This window comes from Homo sapiens, chromosome 10 (assembly GCF_000001405.40).
Source record: "Homo sapiens chromosome 10, GRCh38.p14 Primary Assembly".
In the NCBI taxonomy this organism is placed as follows: Eukaryota; Metazoa; Chordata; class Mammalia; order Primates; family Hominidae; genus Homo; species Homo sapiens.
In genome coordinates this window covers 79,624,100-79,640,847 of record NC_000010.11, presented here as the reverse complement: position 1 = coordinate 79,640,847, position 16,748 = coordinate 79,624,100, and the positions used below count along the sequence as shown (strand labels likewise).

At 39.6% G+C, this 16,748-nt stretch overlaps 1 long non-coding RNA gene across 1 annotated transcript in view; it reads left to right on the top strand.

Annotated features, from left to right (window-relative positions):
* LINC02679 (long intergenic non-protein coding RNA 2679) overlaps positions 1–12,091 on the top strand; it is a 34,429-nt gene extending 22,338 nt beyond the window's left edge. The window contains exons 2-4 of the long non-coding RNA NR_134315.1: positions 8,662–8,866; positions 9,914–10,012; positions 11,792–12,091. This is a non-coding gene — a long non-coding RNA (long intergenic non-protein coding RNA 2679). The remainder of the gene's footprint in view (positions 1–8,661; positions 8,867–9,913; positions 10,013–11,791) is intronic.
* The last annotated feature ends 4,657 nt before the right edge of the window (positions 12,092–16,748 follow it).

Sequence of the window (16,748 nt, the reverse complement as noted above, 5' to 3'; positions counted from 1 at the left end):
ATTTGAACATGGTTGGAACTGTTAGCTACATTTGGCCAAAACTCAGTGATTGGTACAGGTGTGGGCTACAGTTGGTTTACAACTCCACTTGTTATAGTTCACGATGTACAGAAAAACCTTTAGGTTGAACTTTAATATGTAAGGAGGCAGCTTTAGGCTAAACTTGATTTAACAATTTCCCTCTTTGGGTCATTTTCTCAATCTTGAGATATTGACCAAAACTTTAGTTACTGATGTTACTATTACCATGGCTCTTGAAACTTACTGGGAAAGAGCAGAACAGTGAGTTTGGCAAAGATGTGAACAAGGACTGAGTAGAGGGTGTATCCATATGCTGGAACATTCTGTTTACAGAAGAAAAACAAAACCTGGTCTGTTGTAGAACCTATGTGTTTGTATGTTTTCCATGATCAAACGTAGTTTGATTATGTTACATTTAGCACAAGCAACCCGAGTTTTGTTTGGTTTGGTCTATTGGGGCCTAGCTCAGTCCAAAACAATGGCCTCCCATAATTTCGTTTAAAAGAATCCCCCTTTTTTTTAGGTCATGTTCTCACTTAGGTGAGAGTGTGAACAAACTTAGGGCCTTAGCACCACTCTCAGTTACCATCATTTTGGGTTTCTGGTCTCAGCATGTCATTCATAAGTCACGGTGTCCTCATGGCTGCATATTTCTTTCAGCTCTTGTCATTCCAGTTAAAGAGAGACCATTTGACATTCTAGAGATGGCTGCATGCAAACACTTAAAACTTTTAAGAGAATATAGCACACCAGAAAGACTATTATTATGACTATCAGTAGGATAATACCAAGAGTTTGGAGTATGCTCCTTACCCGGGGTCCACATAAACCAAACCACCTAAAATTAAATAGATCAAAGAATGAGCTATATGAAGAGTCTACTCACTTAACTAAGGAGTATCTTCATTAATCCCCTACAACTAAATCTCTATAATACGTGACGTTTTCTCCATAGGCCATAAGTGCCAACATCTGTACAGAGACTTCTGTTTAGCCAGTAACTAATCCAGATCAATTGTATTATTTAGCATAACTTTCACAAGAGAATTTAAAGTTTGTGTGTAACCATAGCCTTTACAGTAGAATCTGCTTTAGAGCCTATCATGAGGGATACATTTTTAATCATTGACATTTTTATTCCAAACTATGGAATAAGGACCTAACAAATGATGCCCTTTTAGAAGAGTGAAATCCTCCCAGCAATGTTCTCCTTAGCCCATGATGTGGACTAAAAGGAGTAAATCAATGTTCTGTTTCTGACTGATTATGAGGCAATGTACGTACCATTAAAGTTTCTCATCTACATTGGGCCTTCATTTTTGTCTATTAAGGTGTAAGGTTATCCATGTATAAGGCTGGCTGCAAAATCCTTCACAAATAAAAGTATACCCCATAAGTGCACACAAGAGAACCCTTTCACCTCTATTATTCATAGAAGCATAAGCAAGGGACAAATAATCAAAGATAAGAGTCTCATGATAGTAGAGAACTCTTGATCCGTGATCTTGGGAAAACCTGTTCACATCAAGGATGCCATCTTCTTCTGGGGAGAAACCTCCCTGGTTAGCTTTTCTTTAAGGCTTCTAATGGGTGTACAGTTCCAAGAGTGTAAAGGGAGCCTTTTCAGTTGTGAGATTATGAACCCAAGGTTCAAGGTCCTGAAGTTTTGCTGTAGTGTGGATGCCAATGACAGTCTTTCTTTGATGTTCTCAGAAGATCAGTCTTCAGGTTCTAGTTTATGAAGGGATTGACTGTCCTCAGCGAACCATAAAAACCTTACCTTACCTGGTAAAAATACACTGTAGTCTAATAATCTACTGCTATAATGATGGCAGCGGCACCCCATCTGGAGCAGCCACTGCTGTCACATCAGCTACAGCGGTGAAACATGGCAAGGAGCTGGGGACAAGTGGGAAACATGCCCCTCCTGAGTTGGTGGAGCTGGAGCTTCCTGGGAACAGGTGCAGCAGCCCAAGTAGTGGCTGCAGACCTGGGCCTCCCATTCCATGGAGCAGGCAGGAGACCTGTCCTTCAAGGTGCAACTACAGATGCCCAAGCCATGGCTGCAGAGTCAGGCATCTCTACACTCTTGGGGGCACAGGAAAAAAACCCAGGCCCTTACAGACTTGGAGGTATCTTCTGCTCCCGTTGCCTGGCTCCTCACCACTCTTGACACCTGCTCTGATCTTGGAGCAAGGTTGTGGGTAGGCCCAGGTGCTGTTGCAGCCTGGTAGGTGTGCGCATGCTTGAGGCAGTGCTGATACACCAGTACCATCCTGCCTCTGGCCTCTGCCCAGGCTTTGGGCACTGACAAGCATGGGAGGGAAGCTGAGGAGATGCTGAGGGCAGCTTGACACTGGCCTGCAGGCATCCTTTGGCACAAATAGCCTGGGTGCCATGAATGGCAGCAGGAGGCAGACGGGCTCCTGCACAGAAGGGGGTGGGTCCTTGGTGAGGCCCTACCTTCAGGCCAGGATGGGTGTGAAGGCTGGGGTCTGGGCTGCCAGTCCCGTGAACCAGAGTGTAAACTTGTGATGCCTTTTCTGGGGCCACCCATGGCCTCTCATGGACCAATCAGTGTGCATTTCTTCCTTTCTGAGACCCATAAAAGCCCCAGGCTCAGCCAGAACTGAGCAGACATTGGGACGACCAGCTGCAGAGAGGAGCTACCAACTCCAGGGCCTCATCTCTTCTGAGAGATGCAGATGTTGGGATGCCCAGCTGCAGAATGGAGGTGCCCACTCCAGGACATCCTCTGAGTTGTTCTGTCACTCAATATAGCTCCTCTTTGCTCACCCTCAACTTGTCTGTATACCTCATTATTCCTGGAGGTAAGACAAGAACTTGGGACCTGCCAAATGACAGGGTTAAAAATGCTGTAACACAAACAAGGGTGAAACACACCCCTTGCTCACCATGTTGTGGATGACAAGAAGAGAGAAGAAAAAAAGAGCTGTGGCTCTATGGGAACCCAGACCTGGGAGCTCCCGAGGCCAGAGCTGTGACTCCCGCTATGGGACCCTATGGTTCCTGGAGTCTGCAAGCTTCCAGGTACAACTGTGTTCCCTTGTAACAGCTGTGGAAGCTGCTTGTGGAAGCTGGTCTAGCCAAAGCCTTATAGTGAGCTAGCACTCACGCTGGCACCTGGAGCTTCCTGTCCCAGCTGCAGCAGCTGGTGTGCCTGTGTTAAAACATAGTGAACAATATGAACTTCCACTCACCAAGCCTGACTTGATTCCTCAGTCTACTAGTAGCAGAGGACAACATTGAGCCCCTGATATGGTGACATTCCCTGGAGTAATTGGCTGGCTGCCTGGGGGCAGGCTGATTACATGGGATGAATTTCATCATGGAAGTAGCAGCATTTTGTTCTTATAGGAATAGACACTTACTTTGAATATGGATTGCCTTCCCTGCATGCAGTGCTTCTTCCCAAACTACCATAAGAGACTTACGAATGTCTTATACACTATCACAGTGTACCACACACCATTGCGTGTAATCAAATAAGTCACTTCCTAGCAATAGATGTCAGCAATGGGCCCATGCTTATGATCCAATAGTCTTACCATATTGCCCATGACCCTGAAGCAATTGGATTGATAGAATGGTGGAATAGCGTATTAAAAACTCTGCTGCAGCACCAGCTAGGTGGCAATATCTTGCAGAACTGGGAAAAAATCTCCAGAAGGCTGCATATGCTCTGAATCAGCATTCAATATATGGTGCTGTTTTTACCATAGTAGAATTCATGGCTCCAGGAATGAAGGAGTGTAAATGAGAGTGACAGAGTTCACTATTACCTACCTGTAGTGACTCAGTAGCAAGACGGTTGCTTCCTGTTTTCATGACTTTATCATATAATATGAGATGTACTGACTTTGTTTCCTAGTATTTAAGTAATGCTAATTTTACATCATAGTATTTAAGTTAGGAGATAACAAGAAGAGTAAACATTACTCAAGGACTTTGCTTCCTCTTTCTGGGAAGGGATTAGTGCAACTTTTGGTTGTATACAGAGTAGTTGTATCCTGTCAGGCAGAATTATGACCTTGCTATTTTCTTTAATTGACAATTAAGTATGGTTTTAGGAGATACATGGCTGCCACGTTGACAGGGGATGAACTTATAATAGCTAATTTTATGTGTTGATTTGACTAGGCTATGAGTACCCAGATATGCTGACAAATGTTATTAAGTGTATCTGCAAGGATGTTCTAGATGAGATTGATATTTAAATTCATAGAGTGAATAAAGCAGATTGTTCTCTCTAAAGTAGGTAGGCCTTATCCGGTCAATTGAAGACCTGAATAGCACAAAAATGTTGATTAAGGGAGGACTCCTCTTGCCTGGCTACCTGAGCTGGGCCATTGGTCTTTTCTTGCTTTTAAATTCAAATGGAAACATGGATTTTCTCAGGTACTGAGCTTGCCAGCTTTTGGACTGAAGCTTACACTATCAGGTCTCCTGGTTCTCATGCCTTTGGACTCAAACTAGAACTAAACTTCAGCTTTTCTGTGTCTCCAGCTTGCCAACTGCAGATATTGAGACTTATCAGCCTCCATAATGTGAGCCAATTTCTTGTAATCTCTCTCTCTCTCTCTCTCTCTCTCTCTCTCTATCTTTCAATATTGAGAGCAGTATATACAGCTAAGATAGTCATGGAATGGACATGATGACTCTATTAGTCAACGTTATCTAGAGGCACATATGATGAGAGAGAAATGATAAGAAATTGGCTCACACCATCCTTATAGAGGCTGAGAAGTCTCAATATCTGCAGTTGGCAAGCTGGAGACACAGGAGAGATGAAATGTAGTTCCAGTTTTAGTCCAAAGGCATGAGAACCAGGAGAGCTGGTAGAGTAAGATTCAGTCCAAAAGCTGGCAGGCTCGATACGCAAGAAAAGACAATGTTTCTATTTGAAACATTGAAAAGGAGTCCTCTCTTAATCAACTTTATTTGTGCTATTCACCTCTTCAATTGATTGGATAAGGGCTACCTACACTAGAGAACAATCTGCTTTCCTCACTCCATGAATTTAAATATTAATCTTATCTAGAACATCCTTGCAGATACACTTAATAACATTTGTCAGCATATCTGGGTACTCATAGCCTAGTCAAATCAACACATAAAATTAGCTATTACAAGTTCATCCCCTGTCAACGTGGCAGCCATGTATCTCCTAAAACCATACTTAATTGTCAATTAAAGAAAATAGCAAGGTCATAGTTCTGCCTGATGTGATACAACTATCCTGTGGCAACCAAAAATGCACTAACCCCTTCCCTAAAAGAGGAAGCAAAGTCCTTGAGTGGATGAGGGCTGCCTACTTTGAATATACATGGATGTGTATATATACATATTTTTTCTGTTCCTCTAGATACCTTGACTAACACAGTCATCATGTCCATTCCCTGACTATCTTAGCTGAAACAGAGACTACCAGTCAATACTCATATTGCCCCCGATTTGTTTGTTCAATGTACTTGCTAAAATCCAAAAAATATGAATTTACTTAATATTTGTCTACAGCAAATATAATGCAATCACTATGGGAGTAAGTACTTTGTATCTCTTTTTACATCACAGAATAGATTGCATAACATAAAAGTGATGTTCAATAATTACTTGTTAACCTAGTTTTGATTAAAACATTCTGTAGAGTTCAAAAGGTTCTATTTTTGCATATATGTTCCCTTTGTTTTTATGAATAAATAAATAATATTAACTTAAAAATAATGGATGTAATGGCTTTGAAAATTCTGAGATTCACCAGATGGCAAATAATGCTGAAATCAATAAATGGCTTTCAAGCAAAGATAGAATCCAGGGCACTGCCAGGAAAGTATGGTCCAAAATTGTAGCCAAAAAGATAACTGTAAAATTTTCCATATGTTGCAGAAAGATCAAAGGTTGTGCTTTGGAATGCCATTTAGCTAGACAAACGGTCCTCTAAAATATAAAGTATATGATATACAGATAACTCAATCGAACAATAGAACCTGCAGGAAGCTCGCAGCATTGCTCTACAGCCTCCTCAACAAAAGTTCAAGAACGAGAAGAGCATATTTCTGAAAAGGTTACTGAGTTACCCTTTGTGTATGAGTGAATCTCAGTAAGATTCACAGTAAATCTACAAAAATTTGAAGGTAAATTACATATGTAAAAATATTGATAATTTAAACTGAATAATCCAGAGTTATTTTAAAGTGGGCTACCCAAATTTCTTTAAGCAGATAGCAGGCTGAGTAAAGTACTCGACTTAAATATGTTCTAACTTTTATGAAAAAGGAGGGCTATTTTGAAGGATAGAACTGAGGCCAGACAGTGGAATCAAGAAATAGCCATTAATGGGTAGGAGTAGGATTAAATCCTCATCAAAAAAAAAAAAAGAAAAAATTAACATTTTCCCAGCTAGATTTCAGAACTCTCATTGACTGCTGACTTCTGTATGTCTCCTTTTTTCTTCTATTAAGTCAGAGTGCCTATGATGATTATTCTATGCCTGTCTCATCATTTTATGATGGATGTGTGAAAGATAGGTAAGTTGTTTCTTTAGTTTCAAAGGACTTCAAATCAAGACAAACTGTACTCAAGGAGTTGTATTTGCAGCGAGACCTGATTTAAACGACAAGATTCTAGACTTCAAACTAATGCTGTGATGAGATGAAGCTTTGGTAGACTTAGGATACAATTAGTGAGGTGTGTGCATTACTTGGAGCCAGAGAGCAGTCTACAGTAACTGGCCTCTAAGAAGGACCCCAATGAACATTACCTCCTGGTATTCATGCACTGGTGTAGTTTCCCCTCTCAGTGTACCACGGTTCATCTATATGACCAGTAGAATATGCCAGTAGTGATGGTATGTCATTTCTAAGATGACACTTTTTCGCACTCAAGGGTTAGCCTTCTGGGAAACATAGGGTTTGGGATTTGAAAATTTAGAAACTGAAGCAACTTTTATTCTGGTAGTTACAAGCTCTCATTACTGCTTCTCTCTATATATTTCTAATAATAATTAATTTAATTAAATATCTTCTTATTCTCACCATACAATTTTTTCATATTTTACTATTGGTAATGATTTTAACTACTACAGAAGTGGTCTATATCTATCTGCCTATTTATCTACATCTCTACAAGTGCATAAATGTGTGTGTGGTGTGTGTGGGGGAGTGTATGTATATGTGTGCTTATAAGTTCATGGATGAATTACAAAGCTTTCATATGTGCATTTCAGTTTACTCAAGAGTTAGCAAATTTATTTTTGGACATTTTCACCCCTCTATTACTATGAAAAGATCCACATTTCCATTTTCATGTAATCTCTTTCTTTCTTCCTCTCTGTCACACACGGACACACACATACACACACACACACACCCCACACTCTAAACAATTCATTTGTGTAGATTTGTATATTGCCCTCTTCTTGGTTTTGAGTCTCTAAATTATTTACTTAAATATTAAGTTAGTTAATTTAATTGTATTCCCCCTCTATAATTTCCATATACAGTTTACCTTTGAACAATATAGGTTTGAACTGCATGGGTTCACAGATACATAGATTTTCTTCTGCCTCTGCCATCCCTGAGACAGCAAGATCAATCCCTCCTCTTCTTGTGCCTCAGCCTACTCAACATGAAGATGATGAGGATGAAGACCTTTATGATGATCCATTTCCGCTCAGTGAATAGTGAAGATCCTATAATTCTCTTAATAACATTTTCTCTCACTTACTTTATTGTGAGAATGCAGTGTATAATACATATAACATGCATGACATATGTTAATTAATTGTTTATGTTATTGGAAAGGCTTCTGATCAACGGTAGGCTATTATTATATTACCAGCAGTTAAAGTCAAAAGTGATACAGTGATTTTTGACTTCATAGAGGTCAGCACCCTAACCACTGTGTTGTTCAAGGGTTAACTGAAAACGCACTGGATTGCATGAGTATAAGATAATAATGAGACCTTATTACTTTCCAGTTGAGGTAGGGGAATTTAAATTCTACATAATATCTGCTATCAATAGATTTGCCCAGTAAATTTTATATCAAATAAGTTCTAAGTCTTATTTCACATTTTTATCTCAGTTTCTAAATGTGTCATTATTACATTGGATTTAGGAGCAAAATCCATTATAATCTGTTCTAACAAGAAGATTGTTTTTTGGTAGTCTCTTAAACTTCATATTGGGAGAAGATTATGCTCCTTGAGGATAAGATTCATACTGTAACAATTTTCTATATCCTCCATAATGTTTTGCAGATTCAATAACTATTTAATGAATTGAGTTAAATTTGCCTATACTCTTACAAGTCATACTCTCATAAATAACCTTCTAATCCTCAATTCCTCCAAAACATAGAAAAAAATGCCAATATAAAAAAGCAAGAAAGAAGGTATTAACCATTTGTCCTTCAAAATATGACTCATTCTTTTTTTTTTTTGAGATGGAGTCTTGCTCAGTCACCCAGGCTAGAGTGCAGTGCACAATCTCAGCTCACTGCAACCTCCACCTCCCGGGTTCACGCCATTCTCCCGCCTCAGCCTCCCGAGTAGCTGGGACTACAGATGTCCTCCACGATGCCCGACTAATTTTTTTTTTTTTTTTGTATTTTTAATAGAGACGGGGTTTCACCATGTTAGCCAGGATGGTCTCGATCTCCTGACTTCGAGATCCACCCACCTCGGCCTCCCAAAGTGCTGGGATTACAGGCATGAGCCACCACACCCGGCGACTCATTCTTATACAACTACCTTTGTCAGCATTCTTGCCATTGGACTGTCTAGCCCTTGATGCTGTTATATCATGGCTTGTTGATACAGAAGGTAAAGTTTGGAAAAAAGAGGCAGTTATGTAAAACAATCTTAGAAAATCCTTGAGTTCCCCTTAGAATCTTGTGTCTTCTACATGTTTTTTATTTCACATATTAAGTTTGCAGAGTTATGTCATAATTTCATGAGTGTATCTGTCAGAGAGCCCCTTGAAGTCCTATTTAATCCAACTAAGACTATTTTTTCTTGTTTTAATACCATTCAACTTGTTCTCTCTTTGATAACTAAGGGAAAAGAGAAAGACATTCCATATAATATATCAGATGCCTAAGTGCTTTGGATAGTCATAAGCCTTTTCTCCTACAGCTTCCTAATTAGAAATGCCCGCTCTTCAGAGTTAAGTTTTCCAACTTGCTCCTTCCATTTTATAATAGTCTATTTAGGAAGACTATTATCAAATAAAAATTAGAATGATAAGTGGACACCTATTTTAGCCTTGGGATTTATATCACAATTCCCTAAGACTTTATATTTCCAGAAAAGAAATTCAAACTAAAGGTTACAATTACTATTATTATGGTAATCCTGATAAGATGTGCATTTTAACTAAAAGAAGTTCCCACTATTTTTTTCTTTTTACTTTTCAATAATCCTTGAGACCTTAGTAGAAGTGTGCAATAGTCTTGTGGTGTATTTTTAGTTTAAAAGTCTATCTAATTACCACTTGGTAGATATTGTTCAAACTCACTTTTGAATCCAAGTGTTTTTACCCTCATAGAATTTTTTTAAAGGAGTATTTGCTTGTTTCTATTATACTATAACTATTGGAGCTACTAGGAGGCCTTTTAAATTTCAACAACAAATAGGCAGAATGAAGACTAACTGAAGGGTTGATGGGCTTAAAGAATAAATAACCTAACAAAGGCTAATGGCAAAATCAACATTAGGAACCAAGTCACTTTACTTGGGATTAGTGGATACCAAAATGTGCTTTCTCTGAAGCAGCACTTTACAAGGAAACATGAAAATCCACCTTTGTTGTCCTTCAGCTAAAGGGAATAAAATCGTATACTTTCTGTAATTTTAACCTTGTTATAACAGATGCTACATGAACTCAAGTGGAACTCTGACTGCCTTGAGAGCATCCCACCATCCATTGCTGCTGCATCAAGGTATTAAAAAGAGAGACAGAAGGAAGAGGTGAGAGAAGCACAAGTTTAACAGTGTGAGGGCATTTTGCTTAATAATAAGACATTTCATTAAAATATTAGCTACTTTTGTTAGCTAGCAACTCTTAATTTTGCCTAAAGCTGACCCCATATCTAGGGTTAGGTTTTGAAAGAAATTCATCACCATCAGAAGTAGGTCTGGAAGTTATAAAGGAAAGCTTAAAAAAAAAACAGATATGTGCAACGCCTATTTACAAAGAATCCATTGGGAAACCCCCATTGAGCCCAGGTAGATGGCACATGTCCCCTTTGGTTGATGATATCCACTCTCTCATTTCCTATAAAGCTCCCTGATTGACATGGTGGGGCTCTGTCCTCAGAGCAGCCCTTGTTTCCCCAGTTGCTTCTTGACCATCTTGCATAATGTCTATTTTGTGACAGGCACTTGCTGTAGGATTGGGACCTAGAGTGCCCTGAGGCAGGATTCTGACCCTCAAAATGGGACCTTTTTTGGTGATTGATCCTGTCCAGATGAGACTTCTCTTGGTTTGAGATCTTCCACTGAGAGGCCGTTTCACCAACCAGGCTCTGAAATTTCTGCTCAGCCTGAGTCTGGAGGGATTCAGCTCCTACTCCCCCTCCTGGAGGCTGCCCAGATGCCCCCCAGCTCTGTGCCCCTACCCAGCCATCAGAGTCCCTTCCAGCCTTTGTCCAGGCTGGCCTGTCCTCCAGGACACTTGGCAGCTGGGACCCCACAGGACTCTCCCTCTGCTCTGCTCCATCCTCGAATCCTAATGTCCCGGCTCTTGCCGTCCAACACTGTGTCTGCCCTTGCTATCCCAGCCGCAGTCCCTTAACTCTTCCCTTCCTCCAAGATGCAGTGAGAGATGCCCAGTTGGAAGGAAACTTTTATGGTCATGTCCTTCTCCAACTTTCCTCTTTCTATCATTTTTGTCTCTTTTAAACCTCTCCTGTTGGCGCTGAATTGGCATAGGATGCCACAGTCAAGGCTTGTACCTGTCGCTAGCGTGCACATGCCACTTCTATTCTTCACTTTGGCAAAGACCACACTTTAGTTTGCTGATGGCCAAGTAGATACAGGAAGTTCCCAGTTGCTTGGGCCAGAAAGAAAGAGAGGCCCCAGGTGGACCTGATGACCCCCCTAAACCCCTACCTGGACCTCACCAGGATCCAGTCAAGAGGCCAGTCTCTTGGCCCAGGCCCCCACCTCTTTCCTCCAGAAATGACTTACTAGGGCTTCTTCAGAGCCTGGAGTTAGTGACAGGGAAGCTGGCTCTCCAGCCTAGGCCTCTGGCAGGTGCCTCAGCGATGTCCAATCCAATCAGTGTGATGACCAGGGACAGCACTGGATTGGCCTTCAACCCCAGATTAATAATCAACCATCCTTAGAACTACTGTGTCCTGGGCAGCTCTCCAGGGCTGCTGGCAGGGTCTCCAGCACAGCACTGGGTGGCTCTCTACATTAGTGCCCTAACCCCCTCCTCTACTACCCCCTCTCAGGCATCCATCTCTATGACTCAGCGCCTCTGAGCTTCCAGAGTCACAGGTTCCCAGGGTAGTTTTCTTCAGATATTTATTTTCAGAAGAATGCATAGATTTTCCACCAGACAAACGCATGCACACACACACACACACATACAAACACACGCACACAAACACGCACATGTGTACACATCTTTGTATCAGTTGATCGGACTACTTCCATTTGTGTTTTGTTTATTGCAGGACTGGGGTGGAGAGACTAAATACCCCTAGCACTGAGTCACCTCCTTCCTCTTTTCTCATTTAGAATGTTTGTCAAATGTCTTCTTTGGGCACCTCACAGGGCCAGGCACAAGGGGAAGGGGTATTTGCAGCTGACTTCAATCCAAAGCTGAATGTGGATGTTGGCACCTGCTGCTCCCTCTCTCCAGACATCTCCCTGTATCTTTGCTTATTTGGTTTCATATTTATTGACCATCAACCACCCCCCATCCCTGTAGAACGAGAAGCTCATGAGAACAGGGGTCTTGTTCTCTAGCTTTTGTTTCTCCACCGAGAAGAGTGCCTGGAAACAGAGTCAATGCTCAATAAACATTTATGGAACAAATGAATCCTCCAGCAGCGTGTCCTCAAATCAGCCCTCTTCTCTCTGACGGGAGCTACCATCTGTGCCCCCTTTACCAGTGATCTCACTTTTCTAGGGCAGGAGCTGTACTCAGTTCACATCTCTGTTCCCAGGGTGCAGTCCAGGGCTGGGCACAGAGGAGGATTGGGTACAAGGATGAAGAGAGAGGCAGAGACCTCGAGCAGACACCAGACCATCTGTGCTCATCCAGGCCTGAATTTCTGGAAGTGTCCAGTTCTTGTCACCAGAGCCTGGTCAAGCCATTCAGATCCTGGATGTGACCTTTAATGCTTGCCTTCCTCCAAACTCACACTCATTCTTTGAAACACTTCATGTCATCAAATAACTTCAGAGGTTTGTTTTTCGCAGGTGGGGAGTAGGGTGGGTCACTTCCCTGTGACTCTGCCTTGTGATGGACATTTTGGTTTCTCAAGTGTCCTCACCCTGTGTACTCATGTCATCAGACCCCCATCCAGCGGTCCTCCTGGTTCCCATTCAGGGCGCCTGCCAGGCACCAAGAGGGGCCCTCGAGGTAAAGAAGATCACTCTCAGGGCTGGGTTTCCTGATGCCATTGACACAATATTGAAGGGCCCATAGACCCAGAAGACAAAGGACTTTCAGTTCACACAGCAAATAGGCAGATCTCCCAGGAAGGTGGGAATGTGAAACTGACAGATTTGCGTTAAACCAGGATCCTAACTGTGCCACAGACTCAGAGAAAGGGTGGTTTTGAGTGGGCAGAGGGCAGGCAGGAGGTAAATACACCTAGGAGCAAAGAAACCTGGATTCTGGAGGGGACGAGTTTCTCCCCCAAGGATGTGTACCCATAGGTCTGTCCTCTCATAGACTCGGAGGTGAATTTATGCTGCTCTTATGACTATTACTGAATTTTGCTATTTATGCCAAGATGAAAAACTGCGTTTCCAGTGTCTCAGAGCAGCATGATCTCCTGCATTGTGGAAACATAAACGCAGTGGAGAACCACACCTATAGCTCAGGCACCTCAGTGGTGTCTCAGATGGAGGCCAGGCAATTTGAGTTCACCATGGGACAATTACCAAATACAGCAGGGGACAAGCAGAGTGAGAGCTGATAGAAATGACAAGCCTCAGAAATAGCCCTACAAGGAGTGTGGACCCTACATGACAGATAAATTAATATTTATAATTTATAATTTATTTATAATTATTTATTTATTTATATTTATAATTAAATTATACCCTCAAAAGAGGGTATAATAAAGGAATGAATGAAAATTATATAATTAAATTAATAAACTAGAATTAAAAATACTATAGAGCTAATAAAATAGAATACTGGTTCTTTGTAAGAGACATAAACTTAGCAAATATGGCCGTGGTAGTTTGGGTTGTTTCCTCTTTGTTGTAAAATTACATCTCAGGCCCTTTGCCATAGGACTTCACAAAGGCTCCCACTAGAGTGTGAGGAGTAAACACTCCAGTCCCTTTGCTGTTTGGTGTGGCCATGTGACCATGAGCTAAGATGAAGGGAGCCACAGCTTTACGTGTGCTTACAGGTTTGATATGGCTTTTGTGTTTCTTTCCCACTCATGGGAAGTATATTTCCCTGGAAAGTGATATGGAACAGACATGAATTCACCTGAAAGTCTGGAGTCCAGGTGACTGCTGCTGAGTCCAGGCTCGCTCAGCTGAAATCAGCCAAAGCTCAACAAACTGGAAGATACAGAGCAGAAAATAAAACATTTATTGTTGTAAGCCCTGAGAGGGAGATTTACTATTGTGTTAGCTGACTGATACAATATCAATGATTAATAGAAAAGGTATAAGAAATTAACAAATCAGGAAAGAAAAGAGATTATTATACTAAAATAGATAGTACTAACATTATAAAATTATACCATCTACAGTAGATTTTATAGCAATACATTAGAAAACTAGTTAAAATACATAATATTATAAGAAAGTTTATAATTACTTACATTGGCCCTAGAAGTGTTAGAATAATAAATATATTATTTTATCACATAAAATATTAAAATGGAAGTAAAAAATTATCAACCATTTCTCCATCAACAAAATGGTTTTGTGGCGAGTTGTATCAAGTCTTCAGAGAAGAGATAATTTCTCTGCTTTAGAAATGGTTTGTGTCTACAGCTACTTAGCTAAAATGATTAGCCAAATATGTAACACAGAATGCACAAGGACAGAAAAAAAGAAAGGAACTCTCAGCCAACCCCATCTGTAAGTACAGATGCAAAAATACAATGTAAAAAATAGCTATTAAGACCAGCAATGTAGTCATGGTTAATAGAAGTCTCTGGAATCTGATTTCCTACATTCATTAGCCCATGAATTAACTGCATAATATTTGGCAAATCACTTTGACCTCCATATGCCTCGATATTCTTACTTGTAAATTTGAAAGAATGATAGCATCTATAAAATAGGGTTAATGAGGATTACGTGAGTTAATACTAGTGCCCGGTCCATAGTCTGTGTAATCAGTGTATCAAGCATCAGACCAAGTAGGGTATATCAGAGGAATGCAAAGATGGTTCAACATCAAAAAATAATGTAAGTCACTAATTTAATAAACAGCAGGTTTTATTAAGAGCTTAAATTTATATCTCTCAGATCTTGGAGCTTGAAGCTCTCTTGTTTTCAAAACTAATATGTAGTCTTAAAATTCTTTTGTCATTGATGGGCATTTAGGTTGATTCCATGTCCTTGCTATTGTGAGTAGTGCTGCAGTGAACATTTGCATGCATGTGTCTTTATGGTAGAATGATTTGTATTCCTTTGGGTATATACCCAGTAATGAGATTGCTGAGTCAAATGGTATTTTTCATTCTTTTTTTTTACACTTCGTAAATATAATTCATAAATAAATACTTCATAATTTCTGGTTTGATTTCCCAGAAAGATACAATAACTCTAAATATGTATGCACTTACAAATATGGCCTCAAAACATATAAAGAGACAATTGACAGAATTATAAGAAAAAGCAGAAAAATCCACAATCTTGTGGAAGATTTTCATACAACTTTCTTATTAACTGATAGACCAAGCTGACGCAAAAATCAGTAGATGATAAAATATTGGATGACACACTAAAAAACCTGAATTACCTGACATATAGAGAACACTGCACCCCAAAATTCAAGGGTAAATACTATTTTTATGAAACATTAATAAAAATAGAGCATATGCTGGGATATTAAAGCAAGTTTCAACAAATTTCTAAAAATGTTCCCTGACCACAGAGCAATTATTCTGTATATCAATGATAAAAAGATACTTTGAAAATCCCTATATATTTAAGAAGAAAATTAAGAAATATGCTTCTAAATAACCTGTAGGCCATAAAAAGCCATTCTAATAGAAATTAGAAAACATTGTAACTGAATAATCATGAATAATTAAGTATCAAAACATATAAGATCAACTAGAGCTGCACTTGGAGTAAAATTTATAGCCTTTAAGTATATATTTTAGAAAAGAAGAATGCTGAAAATCATTAATCTAATATCCATTTCAAAACGTTAGAAAAATAAGGCAAGTTAAGCCCTAAGAAAATAGAAGAAAATAATGAAGAGCATGCAGCCATAAAAAATAACCAAATCATGTCATTAGCAGCAACATGGATGCAGCTGGAGGCCATTATCCTAAGCAAATTAAGGCAGAGATAGAAAACCAAATACTGCATGTTCTCACCCAGAAGTGGGAACTAAACATTGTATTCACATGGACACGAAGATAGGAGCAATAAACACTGTGGATTCCAAAAGCAGGGAAGGAGGGAGGAATGCAAGGGTTGAAGAACCACTTATTGAGTATTATGTTTATTTCCTGGGTGATGGGATCACTAGGAGCCCCAACCTCAGCATCATGCAATATACCTATGTAACAAGCCTGCACGTGTACCTCCTGAATCTGAACTAATAATAATAAGCAGAAATTAATGAAATAAAATAAAATGCAACAGAAGGGATAAATAAACCCACAAGTTTGTTCTTAGAAAAGACCAAAAGAATAGATACGTTTTGGTCTTTATCAATCAAAAGATTGATAAAGAGGAAAAAAGAGTAGTCACCAATAACCAGTATCAGGAACGATGAGGAGTCTAACACTACATATCCTACAGACATAAAGATCATAAAATGATAATAGAAATTACTTTATGCCAATAAATTTGAAAAAGTATAGGAAATGGATAAACTCATTGAAAAATATAAATTCCAAAACTTACACAAGAAGATGTACAAAAATCTAAATAGTTTTCTACATAGATTTATAAATTCAATCTATAATTATGTCTTCCTCAGTGAATTTTACAAATAATTTAAGAAATTGTTCTAATCTCATACAAAATCCTCAAGAAAATAGAAAAAAATTTAAAAATTTTTTATTTTTTGAGACCAAAATGATCTCAATACAAAAATGTGACAAGGAACATACAAAAAAGGAATATCACAGGTCAGTCTCACTCATAATGCAAAAATCCTATGATGCACATAGATAAAAATTTCCTCAGCAAATTATTTGTTTTTTGCATATATTTCTAAATTATACTTTAAGTTCTGGGATACATGTGCAGAATGTGCAGGTTTGTTACATAGGTATACACGGGCCAAGGTTGTTTGCTGCACCCATCA